Source organism: Homo sapiens, chromosome 6, assembly GCF_000001405.40.
Source record: "Homo sapiens chromosome 6, GRCh38.p14 Primary Assembly".
Lineage (NCBI taxonomy): Eukaryota > Metazoa > Chordata > Mammalia > Primates > Hominidae > Homo > Homo sapiens.
The window spans coordinates 139,881,321-139,899,057 of NC_000006.12; the positions used below are offsets into that span (position 1 = coordinate 139,881,321).

Consider the following 17,737-nt stretch of genomic DNA (forward strand, 5'->3'; position numbering starts at 1 on the left):
GTCAACACCATCACCAATGAGCAATCCTCTTTGTGAGCTTTATTGTATCGGCAATAAGCTGAATGATGGCAAAAGGAGGACAAAGAGGGCTGTCAAATGAGACAAAGGGAACAGTGAGGGCACGGGAAGAAAGACTGGCATATGGTGTGGAGGGGGAGGGGCAAGGCACGAAGATACCGGTCAGTGGAAGAAACACACACATGCACACACCATGCTTCTCCACAAGTAGCTTTTATGTGTTAAAAAAAAAAAAGTGGATAGTAGGGTTAAAATGTCTCTGATCTTTTTTGCCAAATCTTGCCCTATAAAACCAATTGTCAATTTCAAATTGACAGCTGCAGCCCTGACTGCTTAAACAAATGTAACCTCTGTCTCATTTTGCCAGTAAAAAGAAGTCTTTAAATGATATCTTTTAGATTTGTTCTTAGGCCTTTACATGTAACTATCTGTAAAAAAATCTGTAAATCCATCAAATGCAAGGTTTCAGGTGGTGCTCTGGCATGCTGGATGTGTAAGCAGTTCTGGAAATGCCCTCCAGGTGGCATTATCAATAAATTTTTCAGCCTCCAAGTATGGTCCTAGGTCTATTTGAGATTCTGGTTAAAATGCAGATTCCTGAGACCCACTTCAAACTGACCAAATCAATGCCAGTTTGGGTAGCACCTGGGCATCTGCATGCTGTATGAGATTAGTTTAGGGGATTGCTACTCACACGCCAGAGTGAAGATCCCTGATCTGGTCAACATAGGCACCAGCTACAGGGCCCTGGGACCAGATCAGCCTCAGCTGCAGCAGCACCAGGCTGCCTGGGAAGCCCAGCGCTCCTGGGTGGTTGGTAAAGAGTCTTTTCCCTGGAGGAAAGGTAAAGAGTTCTCAGCCCCTCATCTTCCTCAGTCCCTTCTGAATTAAAAGATTGGAGACACTCCATAGGCAGGTTCCTCTCTTGTTTCTTTGCCTTTTATTTATAATCTCGAACGTCACTCGAACCTTTCTGTGTCAGCTTGCTGTTTTAGTTTTGGTTATGATTGGTGAGTCACAGAAAACACAAGCCATTTTTATCTGCAACTAGGACTACTCTCTGTGCATTTGGGCTAAAGGAATCCCTTTTCACCATTTAGGAGGAATGCTGAAGAGAAAGAAAACTTGATATTTAGCGCAGGGGCTAGTGTCATGCATCAATATCTACATCAAAAGACCAGAGGCTTCGGGCCCTCCCCCGCTCACTGTCTGCAGCCTTCACAAGCCTCAGCCAAAGGAAATGGGAGGAAGTGTATTTTTCATAGGAATTAACTCTTGCAGCCAAACAGGCAAATCAGGTGGCTTTAGATTCTTTACCTCATAAATGGCTATGTTGTGCTTTCCTTGTCCAGACTGGCGTTCTGTTTTGTTATAACTTTGCAAATTCAATGAATAGCTTGTAGGTGGGAGGGAAAGAAAAAGCCCATGGAATCTTTATTGCTTTATTTTTAAAAAAAATCCATGGAGTAAGAGAAAGAATGTGACTGCATTTTTATTTATGGTCAATAAGCCCAGATGAATATGTGGTAAAAGTTGTGCAGACTGTCACAAAGCAAATCACCATGTCACAAGAAATATTATTAAATTCTATAATTTCCTTTTCTGAAAGTAGTTCCTCTGTATGGAGTTGGAGAAAGAAAATTACATTCAATATTCACCTTAACTGAAAAGCAGCTGAGTGTGGTGGCTGGTATCCTATAAATAGCAGATCTGTGACCTCATTCCTGTTCTCTCTCTGCCTAGCTGTTTCCAGTTGCAAGTAGAATAGAAAATTGTCAATCATCTGGGCATATAGGCCAGCTTATTTGGATAAATCTGACCCAGTCCTTGTTTTTCGTTAGTGATGCAGGTACTGTACCTCTATTTAAGCAAAAGCCTTCTATGCTCTGTGTTTGTTGCTTTTTGCCTGCACTGCCCAGGTAATTGCAGTTATGTGGAATTGGCCTAACGTGACCTTGGAAAACTGCTTAACCTTTTGGAGCCTCAGGTTATTCATCTGTAAAGTGAATATTGTAGCTGCCTCTTGCTCATTTCAATGGAATGCTTTGAGAATTGATTTGATAGTGTGCATAAAGCAAGTTGACCTCCTCAAAAAGGAATACAATGTATGATTTTATTTCTGGTCTCAAAGCTAGCAGGCCAGGCCTCTCCAGTACAACGTGGTCATTATCTGTGTTTTTGGACTGCCTGGAGAGGAAATTCACACCATTCAGGGCAAAACAATCCACTCCAGTTTCTAAATGGTGGGGATTGTCTATCTATGGAACACAAATTCAACAGATGGTTGCCAACCTTCCACTTGATTTTGTGGCCCTTTAAACTGTGTTCATTAAAACTTCAACTTGCAGACAACTTTATAGAGACTTGGAGGGATGTATGAATGACAGTTTTTGATATAAAGGATATAGCCCATATGAGACATGAATGTCTCTGATTCTCAGAAGACGTTGTTAAATTAACATGTAAAACAGCAAACAAATACTCTATCAGTAACTAAAAGTGCATGAATTGTTTCCCACATGTTTGTGAATATCCTGCTGATGTCAACACTTTGGAACTTCACTAACAAGTATGTTTTGAAGAATTTGAGTACGACCATGTTTCATGTTTAATTTCAAGTTCCTTTTTTTCAGAAGGCGGAACACAAACTCGAACCAAGGTTTTGGGGAAACAGAGACTGAATCTGTTTCTGTTTTTGTTTTATAAACTTTACAGAGATATATAATGCCATAGCACTTTTTATTTAAGGCTGGCAGAATTTGTTTATTCTCCTTTTCTCGTGTGGGCATGCATTCATACATGTATTTACTATTTAGCCTGTGGAGTTTTTATTTATTTAGCAAATGCCTTGTTTTATTGAACATTTTGGCTATTTTCTTGGACCATTTTGTTGCAAGAAATAAATGTGATACTTTAAATGATTTCTTTCTTTTTCTATCAACTTGGGAGCCAAAATAAAATTGACATTCTCAGAAAACAAAGGTGCTGTAGAACTCGAAAACATTTACCCTGAAATAAAAATTTGTATTTACTTAGAGCTCAGTTTCTGTTGAAAAACAAACATCATAGACCCTCAGAAAAAGAAGAGAAGCCCCCTGCTGACACATTCTCTTATTGATTGATGATGTTGTCTTGGCAGAGCAGCTTCAGAAATGCAATCAGGGAACAAATGGGCCTGGTTTTATTCAATAAAATACCCTCTTAAAAAAAGAAAAGAAATCTTAAAATTCAAAGAATTGTATTTGAAACTGGTGAAATATAATTCTGTGAGTTTATTCTTTGAAAAATAAAGAAAATGGGATTGTTCTTTGGCCTTATTCCTATGACATAAATCTGATTTGAAGGACACTGGGCCATACCATAAAGTGTAACATTGTTCAAGAGATACGCATAAATGAGAGCATGGTTCCTCAGTTTCCTACTGTATCTGCCCCTTCTGAGTCAATCAAGCCTAGCACCGGCCTGAGCTGAGAACTATATACTACTGAAGGGGCCACTGAGATAGGTATACAAGGCTAAGCATAGCCAAGGTTTATGAAACATTCACAGTGGGCCAGCTACAGTGCGTTATAGGTGTTAAATTATCCTCTGACTGGCCTATTACAATAGACTTCATTACACAGATGAGGAAATGGTACAGAGGGGTTAAGTCACCAGTCAAAGATCACACAGCTAGGGAAGATCAGATCCGGGATTTGAACTTCAGTAGACTGATTCTAGAGTTCATCTCTTCACTGTTAGACTTACACCACCACCTCTCTTAATTAAAATAATAAATAAATGAACCCTTAATACATTGAAAACTTTTAGTACAGAAATAATTTCTGAATTGTCATGTTTCCATTCTCTAGTTTTAGGCATTCTTTAATTATTTTTTGCTATCTATTTCTCCAATGGGTTATATCTATTACTTTACTATATAATGCCTTTGAATCCGTATGTAAGAATTTAACTTAGCTCATAAGTTGCTTTTTTGCTGCTGTAGAAGTTTATAAAATTATTTCCAATGTAAATCTGTCCTCTGTTTAGTTTTCACTTTTTTTCTGTCCTAAATAAAAATGTATGTCTTACATTTTTCAAATTATAATTTTAACATTTTATATTCACATCTGTGTTTTCCTCTGTAGTCTAATGTTTTGTGTGTTTTGGAGGTCATAGGGATTGGTGTCTTTTTAATGTGGGTGTCCCTTCTTCACCACTATCCCCCCCCATTTGGGGAATTATGTTTATGTTTTAGTTCTCCATTCATGCATTAGCGGAATTGTTTGTGATAATAACAGGAAGCAACTTAAGAACTTCCTAACCATTTATAAAACACTAAAAGTGGAGTTTTGATATTTGAAAGAACATGTGTTGAAAGTTCAGATTATGGTGATCCTTCCTTTAGGTCCTGACAGAATTTTATATGTGCACAAGTGGGCTCTTGTTCTATTTTCTATTAGGGAATTTGACTCTACTCTCAAAGATTTCGAACTCAATGCTAAAAATCATTTAAAGGCTGGCACATTGATGCTCTTGTGGAGCATAGGTGGCAAAAACTAAAAGGCAGGAGGTCTGAAGCTTTTGTATCATTGCAACACTTTTCCTGTTTCTGCACTGTTTTAGTCAATTTGGGGTTCTGTAACAAAATACCATGGACTGGGTGGCTTAAACGACAAGAATTTATTTCTCACAGTTCTGGAGGCTGGTAAGTCCTGGGTCAAGGTGCAGGGCTGATTTGCTTTCACAATGATGGCTTTCTTCCTGACTTGCAGATGGCTACCTTCTCCCTGTGTCCTCACATGGCAGAAAGAGATAGAAAGGAAGCTCTCTGATGCTCATAAAAGCAATAATCTTATCATGAGACTCCCCTTCTATGACCTCACCTAAACCTAATTACCTCATAAATATCATGACATTGAAAGGTAATAACCTGAATTACCTCACAAATATGACAGTGGAAGTTAGGGCATCAACATGTGAATTTTGAGGGGACACAATTCAGTCCATAGCACTCACTCACAGTCTTTTCTGATGCCAGGCTGTTGATATGGAATCTTCCCTTAAATTCTCTTCTACACCGAAAACTTGATCAGTCCTTATAGGATGGCGTTGACTTTAGTAACAATAATTTCAAAATAAATGTCCAGCAAAAAAAACCCCAACAAACAAGTAAAAAACCTCATTAAATGAGATCATAAGTTCGAGTTGCCCAGGTCCCTTCATTCGAAATTCAAAAGCTCGCCTACCAGGTAGAGGGACTTCCTGGAATGCTGGGGAGTGAGTTGAGTCAGTGTGCATCCTGAGCAACTGTGCTCTAGATTACTTCTATTTCCTGGAGCAAAGTGTTTTCTTTCAGACAAGTAACACGACATAACTGAGGATCAAATTTATTTTGGAAGTTTTATAAAAATTCAGCAAGCAAAACCTTTTAAAAATGCCATACATGCCATGAACTAAGATGAATTGATAGTGAGTACTCCAAAGCATTTTATCCAGAGAGTGCAGAACATTTTGAAACCCATCATTAGGAAGAGATGCTCTTACTGGAATTTATTAGACAACTAGAATAAAATAAGAAATGTAGTAAATATCTCAATCAGGACTTCTGGGAACTTGAGTCTTCTGTAGATGGCTTTTAGGTTTTCCAATTTTGTTTGCCCTTTTAGGTAAAATATCAATAGTTCATGATGAAATTATTGAAAAAAAAACTGAGTGACTAATTTTCAATCTCCTGCTTTCCATCCTAGAACCATATGAATTGTTAAGACTTTCAGTTGTCTTGGTTACTTCTGCTTAGAGACGGTAAATGTAGGTATTCCTTGGAAGATGTTTGGCAGAAGAAGGAAAAGAGAGAGGGGCTTGAAAGAAAACTATGATTAAGGGAAGGGTTAAGTTAAAACTAGTTTTAATCAGAAGATCCATGTCTCATTTCTTCATCTATGCTTATTTACAAAGTTATTGTAATTAAATGAAGCTGATTGTCTACTACTTGGTAGGCATCGTAGTATTCCCTCGAGATGCAAAGGCAACTTTTATTTATTTATATTTATGTTTATTTATAATTATCATTGTTGCACAAATGATTTGAAGTAAGAGGAATATAAACTACCTTCAGGCTGCCCTTTGATCCCTTTAAGGGATCAAAGTCCATCAGAAGGTAGACAGCTATAGAAAAATGATGATACAATGTGAGTAAGTGCTGTTACGAAGAGATGGGCAAACAGCTTTGGGAACATAGTGGGTATAGTAACTCTATTAACAATCTGTTAACTTTGAGTTGCTTCTTTCATTGATTCCTTAAAATCTATGTGATTCTATTACATGCCCCAAGAGGAGTTTTAAGTTCCTGGACTAAGCAAAAAATCTGGAGTAACACAGTACATAATCTGTCTAGGGAAGGAGTCCTGCTACATTTTCTAAATTCAGGGACAATTTAGTCTTTCTGAATCCCCACAGGGCAGAAGCACACATGATCTAGAATCAGTCTCCAAAGATTTTAAGCTTATGTATGAGCATTGACTATGCCCAGAATTCCTGGGTTAACCAATGAGTCTTCTCCTGAGATCCTGCTATTAACAGGGGAAGTATATTGATCTTTGAAACATTTCAGTTACAACAGTGATAGTTGTGTTTGTTTCCTTTCGGAAGAAAAGGAAAACTGGGGGAGGGGAGCTAAGGACTCAAGGAGTGCAAATACTCTTTTGTGGTATGTGTTCTGCCTGTACAGAACTTTCTTTTCCCTAATCTGTATTCATTATATGTAGTTATCTATAGTTGAGACCAGAATGTGATGCTAAGTAGAGACATAGGTAATTATCTGATTTCCTTTCTTACTTTGGCAAATGAATACATGTTTGGTTGAAGCTGATTGTGAGCCACTTAACATGAACAGGTGAAGTCAAATTTTGTAACGTTGGGCAATAATATTTTCTGTTGTACTAGTAGGTTTAAAAGTTATAATTATGTACATTTCATATTACAGCTTCTTCTACACCTTCTGTTAAATGTAAATTCATACTGAGTCTCAGCAAATTAGTTCTTTTGTTTTATTCCTGCAAGAGGATAAACGAAAAGTTTTAAAATAGGAAACCCAGTGATTTTTCATACTCTCTTCTCCAGGGTGTGTTGTGGAGGGATTCACTGGCAAATCAACTTATTTATCACAGTAATACAGAGGTCAATATATTTCTGACTGCCTGTTCTAGCTCCCAATAGAAAGTGTTAATCACAAGTATTTTCTAAATGGAGTGATGACAGATGTTACCAAAATGTCCCTAAAAATTGTTATAAATTAGTTGGCACGTGCGTGCACATACACAACACACAAACACACAGATGTGAAAGATGGCAGAAATGCTTCTCTTGTTTGGGAGGGAGCTCAAGGTAGCTTGAAATTTAGTAATTATCCAAGTACTTGTGAAGAAGCAGGCAGCATTTTTCAAATTCCAGAAGGAATCACTGCAAGGGGGGGACTAGAGAACTAGCTAGGAGAGTGAGAATTGTATCCTGGGGGAGGGGAAGAGAAGGGACAGCTTTTTATACCTTTCTTTTATAGGAAAAAAGAGCAGCCAGCAGAAACTAGATGAGGATCAACATGGGGTGAGGGTGGAGGGGCTAGCAACTGCTGAGACAGTCAATAGGCAGATTGTTCATCACGCATTGCCAGAAGATTAGCTGAGCAAATGCACAGACAATGCTGATTACTGACTTGAAATGCATCAGTTCTTACTGGGGAGAACAAAGACGGTCAGATCACTGCCCTACAGCCTAACGGCAATAATGGAACCCAGCTATGCTCAACATAATGTTTACAGCTGAGAAATGTGGGCAATGTGTCTATTTGTTTGTATTCACTAAATTTCTCTCATCTCAGGAATGGCCTCAAGAGATATATATCTTATTTCTAGCAGGTTCTCAAGAGACAGCAGTCCTATAATCACACCCCTGCATATTTCAGCCCCTTGTGAGTTGTGTATTTCTTTCCACTTAATCTGAGAAGGCAGATATCATTGAATTGTCACAACTTGGCCTCCTTTTTTACACTGACCTTGCAAACGCAGGTAATTATATTTGAAAAAAAAAATTAATGCTTCTCACATATTATTTACTTATATAAAGAACTGCTATCAACAGTTGTAACTATATTAGAGTATTTTAAAGTTATGAAGTAAAGTGGAAAATAGTTCCTTTTTATCTTTTCTGTGAATATTTTTCAGACAAAGCCTGTGTATTATTTGTTTTATCTTGACCTCCTTTCTTATTATGAATTCAGAGACGTTTAGCACTTTTATTCCATCACCCCCTTTTGGAGCTTTGTTTTGGGCACCTAGGAAATAGAATATGACCTTGGGTTGGCATTAATTCTGAGATACTAGAAATTTTCATAAGAAACTCTTTATGTGATATTACTGTAACCATCAAACACAGCCTTTCCATTTAGTTGATATTATAATTAAACCTAATAATAGCATCCCCCCTTTACATTTTCTTTACATATGTAAAAATAATCTTAGTGTTATTTATAGATTTGTGTTAGTCTTTATTAGAAGCCTTTTTTCTTTGGATAAAAGAGCTTTACTTTAGTCATAATGCTCTTAACAGGATTCATCTAGAAGAAAAGCACCATAAGGCTGATGTGTCTTTCTCAATCCTCATTGACATTTTATACCTTATTGGCTTGCAGTTTCTCTTTCTCTTTTGTTTTATCTTTGTATTTTTTTAAATGCCTAACACTTTCTTACTTCTTACTTGTTTTATTTTTTTACTTACGAACACCTGATTAATTCAGGAGACTCTTCTCTAAATTAGAAAAACTTTCAAAAACCAGATTATTTTCTGGGAATACAATTTTCTTTTTTACCCCTGTTCTTTTCTCTTGTTTGCAGTTAACCATGTCATTGTTAACATATAAACAGTTTGGAAAGAATTATTTGCACCACATTTAAGAGAGAGCAGATTGTTAACCATAATATATAAAGAACTCTCACAAATGAATATTTTAGAAAAACATACAAAAATCCAATGACAAAAGGAGGCAAAGGTTATAAATAAATAATTCAGAGATGAAGTGCAATAGGTAACAAACATATAAAAAAAGTCATTCTTACCGATAAACTGTATTAAATGGAGATTGAAAATAAAATCCTCATCATATTGACAAAAATTATAAAAGATGGATAATATCCAGTGTTGGCAAAAATATGGAGAACAGAGTAATGGTATAATTTTGTTAGTGCTTTATTTTTAATCAACTTGACAACATCTATCAAAATGTAAAATTGTATACTTTTTCATCTGTTAATGCCTTTTCCAAAAATTTATTCTATGAAAAACTCAGATATGAGCATCAATAACTTTTCAGTATCTTTTTTCCTCTTTCAAGATTATTTATAAAGAAAAATTAACCAATGAAAGTGATGTTACATTTACAACATGGAATACTATATAGCAGTTAATGAGAATGATGTCCTAACGTAGAAATGTTCTATATAATACATTGAATTCAGAATGAAAAATATGCATTGAATGATCTCAGGCTGGGTGCGGTGATATAATTCCAGCACTTTGGGAGGCTGAGGTGGGCAGATCACCTGAGGTTGGGAGTTTGAGACCGGCCTGACCAACTTGGAGAAACCCTGTCTCTACTAAAAATACAAAATTAGCTGGGTGTGGTGGCACATGCCTGTAATCCCAGCTACTTGGGAGGCTGAGACAGGAGAATCACTTAAACCTGGGAAGCGGAGGTTGCGGTGAGCCGAGATGGTGCCATTACACTCCAGCCTGGGCAACAAGAGCGAAACTCCATCTCAAGAAAAAAAAAAATCTCATAGATGTAAAAGAAAAGGAAAAAACAAACAAACAAACAAAAAAGACCTCTAAACCTGTGTGTAAAAGTAAAACAAATATCTGGGAAGGTAACACCAAACTGCCACACAGTTAACTCTGAGGAGAGACTGGATTGCAGCATAATAAAATGAAGGAATTACTAACTTGTTCTAGATTTTTACAGTTACGTTTTATTTTGGTAACACAAACCAATGAAAAGAATGTACTTTCAAGTGCACAGCTTAATTCAAATTAAGCTAAAGGGAATGTTTGCTAATAGTGGTCTGCAGGAAGTAAGCTTTAATGAATGAATGAGAACATTGTGTTACTTGTGACTAGATCATCATATAAAGGTAGTTCTGCTATAGTGCTTGTCAATAAGATTGATATATTAGTAATTAAGTGCAGCATAACACAATGTTGTGTTATGTATGATTTCATCCATGTGTGGTTCCTCATCTATGACTTCATCCACGAGAAATACTAGGTAAGTGCAAACAACTGGACCCAGCTCGGTTGAGTCACAAGAAAAATGCAAAATGTACACACACATCTCAAGCATCTACCATCTGTATCAGTTTACCACGTGGATTATGAGTTGCATCCATCCACATCTGTTGTTATAGCTTTCATCTGATTCTAGACAACCCTCCTTTACTACTTCACGATAACTCAAAACTAAAACTCCTGACATTCATTTTCACAAGCAAATGTCAAGTTTTTCTTCAAAATCAAGTGCTGTATTTATTGAGGTATGTATGTATTAGTTAACTGTTTAATACATGTAAAGTCATGCTACTGTTTTTATTAGGTTCCTATATTATGTTTAATTTGTTGTTGACAAACTCTTTGAGTATTGTATCTTAACACGATTTTTCCCAGAACCTCTGGCTTTTATTGCACGATTTCACATAGGATGGCACTTTTAAGGAATACATATGCATTATCGTAGAACTGATTGTACTCAATATATAACAAACCAGTAAACTTTGGAGCTTTTCACTCTGCAGTGATGGGAGTCAATGAATGGCATTTATTGAAGAGAATTATCAGTAGGTTCTCATGTTTCTGCCCATCTCGTGAGAAAAGTGGCTTTCTTCTAGAATATATTTTCAAGGATATTTGTACAGCAAACAGCTTTGGAAATTAGAGACAGTATCTCCTGTTGGAATAAAGGGCAGATTTGTTTACAGCCTTGCATGAGGAAGTATTTCTCCCCCAGAACAATGAGCAGGTATGCTTACTGTCCAGTATAAGACATTCAGTTCTCCAAGTTCAGGATTTTTCTCATGGTGCATTCAGGTGTCACTTGATGCTGTTTGTATCACCCCATGGGAACTAAGTCTTGGAGAATGAGTAAAAAAATGACATTTCTAGGGCCGGGTGCGGTGGCTCATGTCTGTAATCCCAGCACTTTGGGAGGCCACGAGGCAGATCACGAGGTCAGGAGATCAAGACCATCCTGGCTAATATGGTGAAACCCCGTCTCTATTAAAAATACAAAAAAAAAAAAAAATCAGCCGGGCATGGTGGCGGGCGCCTGTAGTCCCAGCTACTCAGGAGGCTGAGGCAGGAGGATGGTGTGAACCCAGGAGGCGGAGCTTGCAATAAGCTGAGATGGTGCCCCTGCACTCCAGGCTGGGCAACAGAGCGAGACCCTATCTCAAAAAAAAAAAAAAACAAAAACAAAAAAAACAAACATTTCTCTGGCTACTACTGTTGCTATGAATAATAAACTTTCTTTTGTTTTTCATTCATGAGTCTTATGTCTCTTGCCAGAATTAATGAAACTGTGGCAGACCAATAGGTTGACTTGCAAATAAAGTAGAATCTCAGACCCTTCACATTTCTTGAACAACGTTCTGCATGGTATCATGGTATTACACAGGTGTCTCCATAAAATCATTGGTCAATATATTTCAGAACCCTCATGCAAAGATGACAATCATTAAATACCCTCTTGTTTTTCATGTTTAAGGATAATGCATTCAATAAAAGATAACAAAAGGGTGCACTGAAGTACTTGAACTGAGCAGTGGTATGGAGAATATTTCTAGTTTTCATTTTACTTCATTGAATGAACAACTCTGTGCTCATGTTACCTAAAATGAGAGTTAATTAGGTTATATGTTTTGCTATATGTAATGGGCTATCTTTGAAATTCTTGGAAATAACTTATTCACTGAAGTGTAAATAATTCTGCTACAGTTTCATTGATTTGATCAAATGATATATATTAAGTTTCTGTCCTATACAAAGCTCTGTGAGGGATACAAAAATGACTAAGTACTTTCTGTGCTTTCAAAGTGTGCATTCTAATATGGGAGATGAAATAAAAGGAAACATAAACATTATGCAAGGCGGGAAATGTTAACTACGGCATCATAGGAACCAATAAAGGATTACCGATGTTCTGAAGGGAGAAAGATGGAGGAAGACTTCAGGAGAAGGACTTTTAAGGAGAGCATTTGAAGAGTGGGAAATTATGTGGAGGCAGGAAAGTTAATGAGCTAGTGGAAGAAAGGCCTGGAAAGAGGAATTGGGACCAAATTCCCAGACACAAAGGATCAAGAATGGTTAAGAATACTTATTTCATTTATCCTAAGATAGACGTTTTTAAAATTGGAGCATCTCTGTAATGCAATTAATAACCTACAGTATTTTACAATCTCTGACATTTTTCAATTTCTCTAAGTCAGGTGACAGTCATTCCAGAGTGGTACAAAAAATTTTTTTGACAATTTCTGATAAGATCAAGGACAGGCCAGAAGGAATCCACTTTAGATTAATGTGACTATATTAATATCATTGAAGGGTAGAAATATAAAACCTTGAGAGTGACCTTTAGAATTTTTGGGACTATCTCCTGGCTAACATACCTAAATAAAAACAAACATAATATTTGCCAAGTATTAAATTACCACTGTTTGCTAGCCTTGTCTTAGAATTTAAGCCATTGCCATATTTAGTTCTCACAAAATTCTTGAGACAGAGATCAGCTCATTCTTAAGGCTAAGGAAAGAGGTCAAGAAAAGTTTTAAGTAGTGCAAGGTTAGAGACCTAGTAAGTAAAACTTGAATCTCGATAGTTTTAGGATTTAATTCCAGTTCTTGCTTACTCTCACAACTATTCTGTTAATTATGCAATTTCTTTTATAGCACATCTTTGCTCTAAAAGCTTCTCCCACTTTAATTAATATTAGTGATGCAGTATTTTTCTTGACCCCTTCATCGGACTTGCAACAGGGCTATCCTGTGTACTTGGCCTGCTGCTCTCAACCCCTTGAGGGAGGGAGAACGTGAGCAAGCAAGTATGGGATCCAGCTGGCTGCTTCGGGTGCTGTCAGGAGCAGGCTCTGTGCGGGCCCAGCGGCAGCAACCCGATGGGGATGACTGTGACGCCTGAAGCTCCAGAGGGCATGTTACAATGCTCTCTTAGTTCCACCGTCCATGGACAGTGGTATGTTATCAGTTCAGTGGGCCTTTTGCCTCATTGCATGGGGTAGATGCCTTCCACCAGCAAGGGCAAAGGGCCAGTATGACAGCCTTTTTTTGGGTACCCTTACTCGGTAAGTCCTGAGCTCTTGTCCATCATCCAAGAAGAATGAGGTCGCCTGGACACTTGAAAGATGGTGAAGGGAGAGAATTTTATTAACAGATGGAAATGGTTCTCATTGGGGAGGGGAATGGTGAGGGGACGGGATGAGCAAGTAATCTTTCCCCAAAGTCTGGCCGTCTCTGGCCAGCTCTTCCTTGAATTCATTGTTTCTCCAAAGTTAATCCATCTCTCCTCTGAAATCCAGCCATCTCCCTGAAGTCAAGTTACCTCTCTCCAGTCAGGCTGCTTCTCTCTCTCTACCAGCTGAGCCTGGGGTCTTTATAGGCACAGGATGGGGGCGGGGGTGGGGCAGGCTGTAGGTAGTTTTGGAAAAGGCAACACTTGATTGATAAAAAGACATTATTCAGAAAGAATCAATTGGGAGAGTGCAGGCAAACAGGGATAGAAGTTGTCACTTAGGGCCATGGGTTTCAGTCTTTTTAGGTCAAAGGTGGGGTTTTGCCAGGGACCAGCCCCTGTCTACCTAGAATTTATCTGCCTCCTGCCTCTATCATTAGTAATATATTTTAAAATCTACAAGTAATTTTACAACTACTTATATTTTCTGCATTCTTTTCAATTAATACATAAGAGAGATGAGACCCAGAGAGGTTGAGTGATTTGTACAAAGTCACACAGCAAGGCAATACAGTGTACAAGGTTCCTATATAGCTTGAATATCCAATGCTAAGCAATCTGAGAAACACTATCACGCATGTTGCATGACAAGCTTGGTCATTTATTGGCAGATTTAATTGTTGAATTTTCACTGGTGTTCTAAGAAAGTTCTGCTTGTAGATTTTACAAACCCAAAACACTCCATCCCTCACATTTCTTTTTCACTCCCTCTAGTGTTTAAAATACATTGTGCATTTGCTTTTCCATCATTACTTTTTGTCCTACATCAATGAACCCTTGGATTTGATTGTCCCAGACTGACCTTACCTGAAAGCTTTGTTTTTAATTTACAGCTTTTATAGCTTGAATGTGAACTTTGCTAAAAAATTGATGAACCTGAATGTGAAGTGAGATGACTTATATTGGCATATTGGAGGAAAATAACTTATTAAAAGCCAGTGAGATAAACCCAAATTGCATTGAGTCAAGATGTTGGATTAAAATTTTTTCACGTGGGCTGGGTGTGGTGGCTCACACCTGTAATCCCAGCACTTTGGGAGGCTGAAGCGGGCGGATCATGAGGTCAGGAGATCGAGACCATCCTGGCTAACACGGTGACACCCTGTCTCTACTAAAAATACAAAAAAATTAGCCGGGCATGGTGGCGGGCGCATGTAGTCCCAGCTACTCAGGAGGCTGAGGCAGGAGAATGGCGGGGCTTGCGGTGAGCCAAGATCGCGCCACTGCACTCCAGCTAGGGTGACAGAGTGAGACTCCATCTCAAAAAATAAAACAAAAAAAGAAAAAAGAAAAATGTTTTCACATGGGTGAAATAGCCAACATGGGACAGTGTGTTAGAGAGTTTCAAGTCAGTAAACACTTAGAATTTTATTTGTTAAAATATTCTTTTGTGATTAGGGCTCTTTAACGCAAATATTGCTTTAACTCAAATATTGCTTTCCTAGCTAAGTTTTTATTTAATTTTGTATTAAAATAATAAAATCTTGAAATCTGTGGGCTTCATATGAAAAAATCAGAAAGGATACATGCTTCTGACTCCGTTCTCTGAGTTTGACTTAATTTGCTGTGTTGGATTATGAATTGGATTGCTTTGAGTGGTTATGAACATTTAACAGTTCACCCCAGACTTAAACCATGTGTTATTTTCTTAATCTCCAAATTATATGCTAGTTTAGGATATTCATTTGAGACTTATTTAACATGAATAAACTAGGCCCATTTTATATCTTGGAGGAATTAAATTTTGGATTAGTTGAGTAATAATCAACATTATTAGAACTAGTCATGATGGAACCCAACATATGTGAGGGAATGTATACAGTACAATAGCATGAGCATGAAATATCCAGCTGATTCATAATAATAGTCCTAAAAATTCTCAGTAAAAATTGATAAACCAGTGAGGTTTTTTGACATTGAAATTCCACTAACAGTGCTTTAATATCTAAGTAGATAAGCCAAGCATGCCCTTTCTTACAGGAACTAAAAATATTGAGACATATTTTAGTAAAGTCAGATTCTTTGTGAGGAGTTGGGTTGATCTATATGTGTTAGCTGCATATATTTTAGATTTAATAGAGAAAGTTTATCATATTCATTATCACTCTCAGTTTTGGCACCTGATAAAAATAAAAAATTAAGTTTTAAAACATTATATACACATTTAAGTATACATAAATGGGATGTAATATATGAGATGTTATATGATAATATTATTTCAAATCAATCTTCCCTTCAATTTTCTTTTACACTTTTGGGAACCTAATTTTAGATCTCCTGTGGAACACTGGCATGTCAAGGATGACTGACAGTGGTTCAGTTTGCATGGGAACCCAATGGGTCCTCACACAGATTTCCTGGCTGATTGGATGAAGGTGCTTCTCAAAAAAAATAATAATAAAAATAATAATGATAAGTGTTTCTTCAACCTCTAAATATTTCCCTGTAGGGGCAGGAAAGTTAACAAGGGATCGTAGTTTTCTGACTTGGCCCTGTCAACTTCCAACTCCCCACATAACCACTACATAAACTCATCCAGTAAGCGAAGCTCCATTTATTAGACTTACAGCAGTATAGGGAAATCACCAAAGTCAAAGTTAAATATCAAATTAAAGTTCAGAGCTAGAAAGTGGCAGGTAAAAATCCAGAACCTTAAAACAGCTAAAAGGAAAGAAAATTGCTGAGAAAATTAAAAATAAGACATGCAGATTAGAGTGTGACCAGCCATGGGTCTTGTTGGTGGGTCTGGCATAGAAGCTATTTACAGTAATCGTTATCCAAAATTTTTGAGTGGAAGCTTTCTTTTCCCAAATGTCATATGCTTTTGGAAGATTCCTAACAATGTTTCATCATCAATGATAATGGTTGCCTTTTTAATTGAGAAAGATGGCTGAAAGAACCCACACCTTAGACTTTTACTTTTGTGTTAGTTGTTCACAGTACCTGATATGCCTTTGTCAGATAAATAAATTTTCTTCTCATGAATATTTTTCATTGACAATATGCTGTTAAATTTGTCATTTAAAATTATGTATAAGCCTTTGAATTAATGTTCATATATTTTGTGTATGTAATATATATATTTATAGGTATTTATATATTTTTATGTATTGCTAAGACATACATACATCCATGCAAAGAGAAGATAAAGTTGAAGCTTTTAATCTTATCTTTTAAATGTAATTAACTTAATCGCTTATATATTATCAATATGCATGTATTATTTTTACATTACCATTTTAATAAACTGAAAAAAATTCCCTTAATGAACTTTCAAACCATATTTATTATCTTGCATACATGTTCCTCTTTCTCTGTAATCATTTATATTAATTATAACCTGTAACTAAAGGAGCTCACTTTTGGTTTTGTGGATAATTGAAAAAACTAGAAGGTAGTACATAAAAAATTATCTAGATATTTTTTCATGAGCACTTATTTTATACAGTATTAACACATTTTAAGATGACAAGATAAGCATATGCAAAATATAATTTAAAGGGATTCGCATATCTTGTTTAATAGAAACCAATTCCGTGTATAAAAGTAAGAAAAAAGAGTTATTTAAGGAAAGTTTAATGACCAATGTTTTTACCATTTTTCTTTGTTCTTCTTTTCAAAGACATTCAAATTTGTTAACCTTTATTTGATGATTATCTATTAAAGGTTTTTTTAATGTGTGAATTTTTTTAATAAAACTTTTATTTTAGGTTCAGAGGTACATGTGTAGGTTTGCTATATAGGTAAACTCATGTCATGGGGCGTTTATTGTACAGATTATCTCATCATCCAGGTATTAAGCCCAGTACCAAATTGTTACTTTTTCTGATCCTCTCTCTCCTCCCACCCTCCACCCTCAAGTAGGTGCCAATGTCTGTTGTTCCCCTTTGTGTCCATGATTTCTCATCATTTAGCTCCCACTTTAAATCAAGACATGCAGTATTTAAGTTTCTGTTCCTGTGTTAGTTTGTTAAGGATAATGGCCTCCAGCTCCATCCATGTTCCAATAGAAGGCATGATCATGTTCTTTTTATGGCTGAGTAGTATTCCATGGTGTATATGTATCACATTTTCTTTATCTAATCTGTCATTGATGGACTTTTAGGTTGACATCCATGTCTTTGCTATTGTGAATAGTGCTGCAATAAACATTCATGTGCGTGCATGTGTCTTTATG

At 36.7% G+C, this 17,737-nt stretch overlaps 3 annotated features.

The window, feature by feature from the left end:
* Positions 2,879 to 3,419: an enhancer, noted in NCBI's record as "NANOG hESC enhancer chr6:140205336-140205876 (GRCh37/hg19 assembly coordinates)". NCBI's record gives its function as "activates a minimal SCP1, AML or CMV promoter by ChIP-STARR-seq in primed H9 embryonic stem cells {active_cell/tissue: H9 hESC(primed)}" and the evidence as "EXISTENCE:reporter gene assay evidence [ECO:0000049][PMID:30033119]".
* Positions 5,520 to 9,312: an enhancer, noted in NCBI's record as "VISTA enhancer hs1644". NCBI's record gives its function as "enhancer in: hindbrain (rhombencephalon)[7/9] | midbrain (mesencephalon)[9/9] | forebrain[9/9] | eye[7/9]" and the evidence as "EXISTENCE:transgenic organism evidence [ECO:0001131][PMID:17130149]".
* Positions 7,192 to 7,696: an enhancer, noted in NCBI's record as "OCT4-NANOG-H3K27ac hESC enhancer chr6:140209649-140210153 (GRCh37/hg19 assembly coordinates)". NCBI's record gives its function as "activates a minimal SCP1, AML or CMV promoter by ChIP-STARR-seq in naive H9 embryonic stem cells {active_cell/tissue: H9 hESC(naive)}" and the evidence as "EXISTENCE:reporter gene assay evidence [ECO:0000049][PMID:30033119]".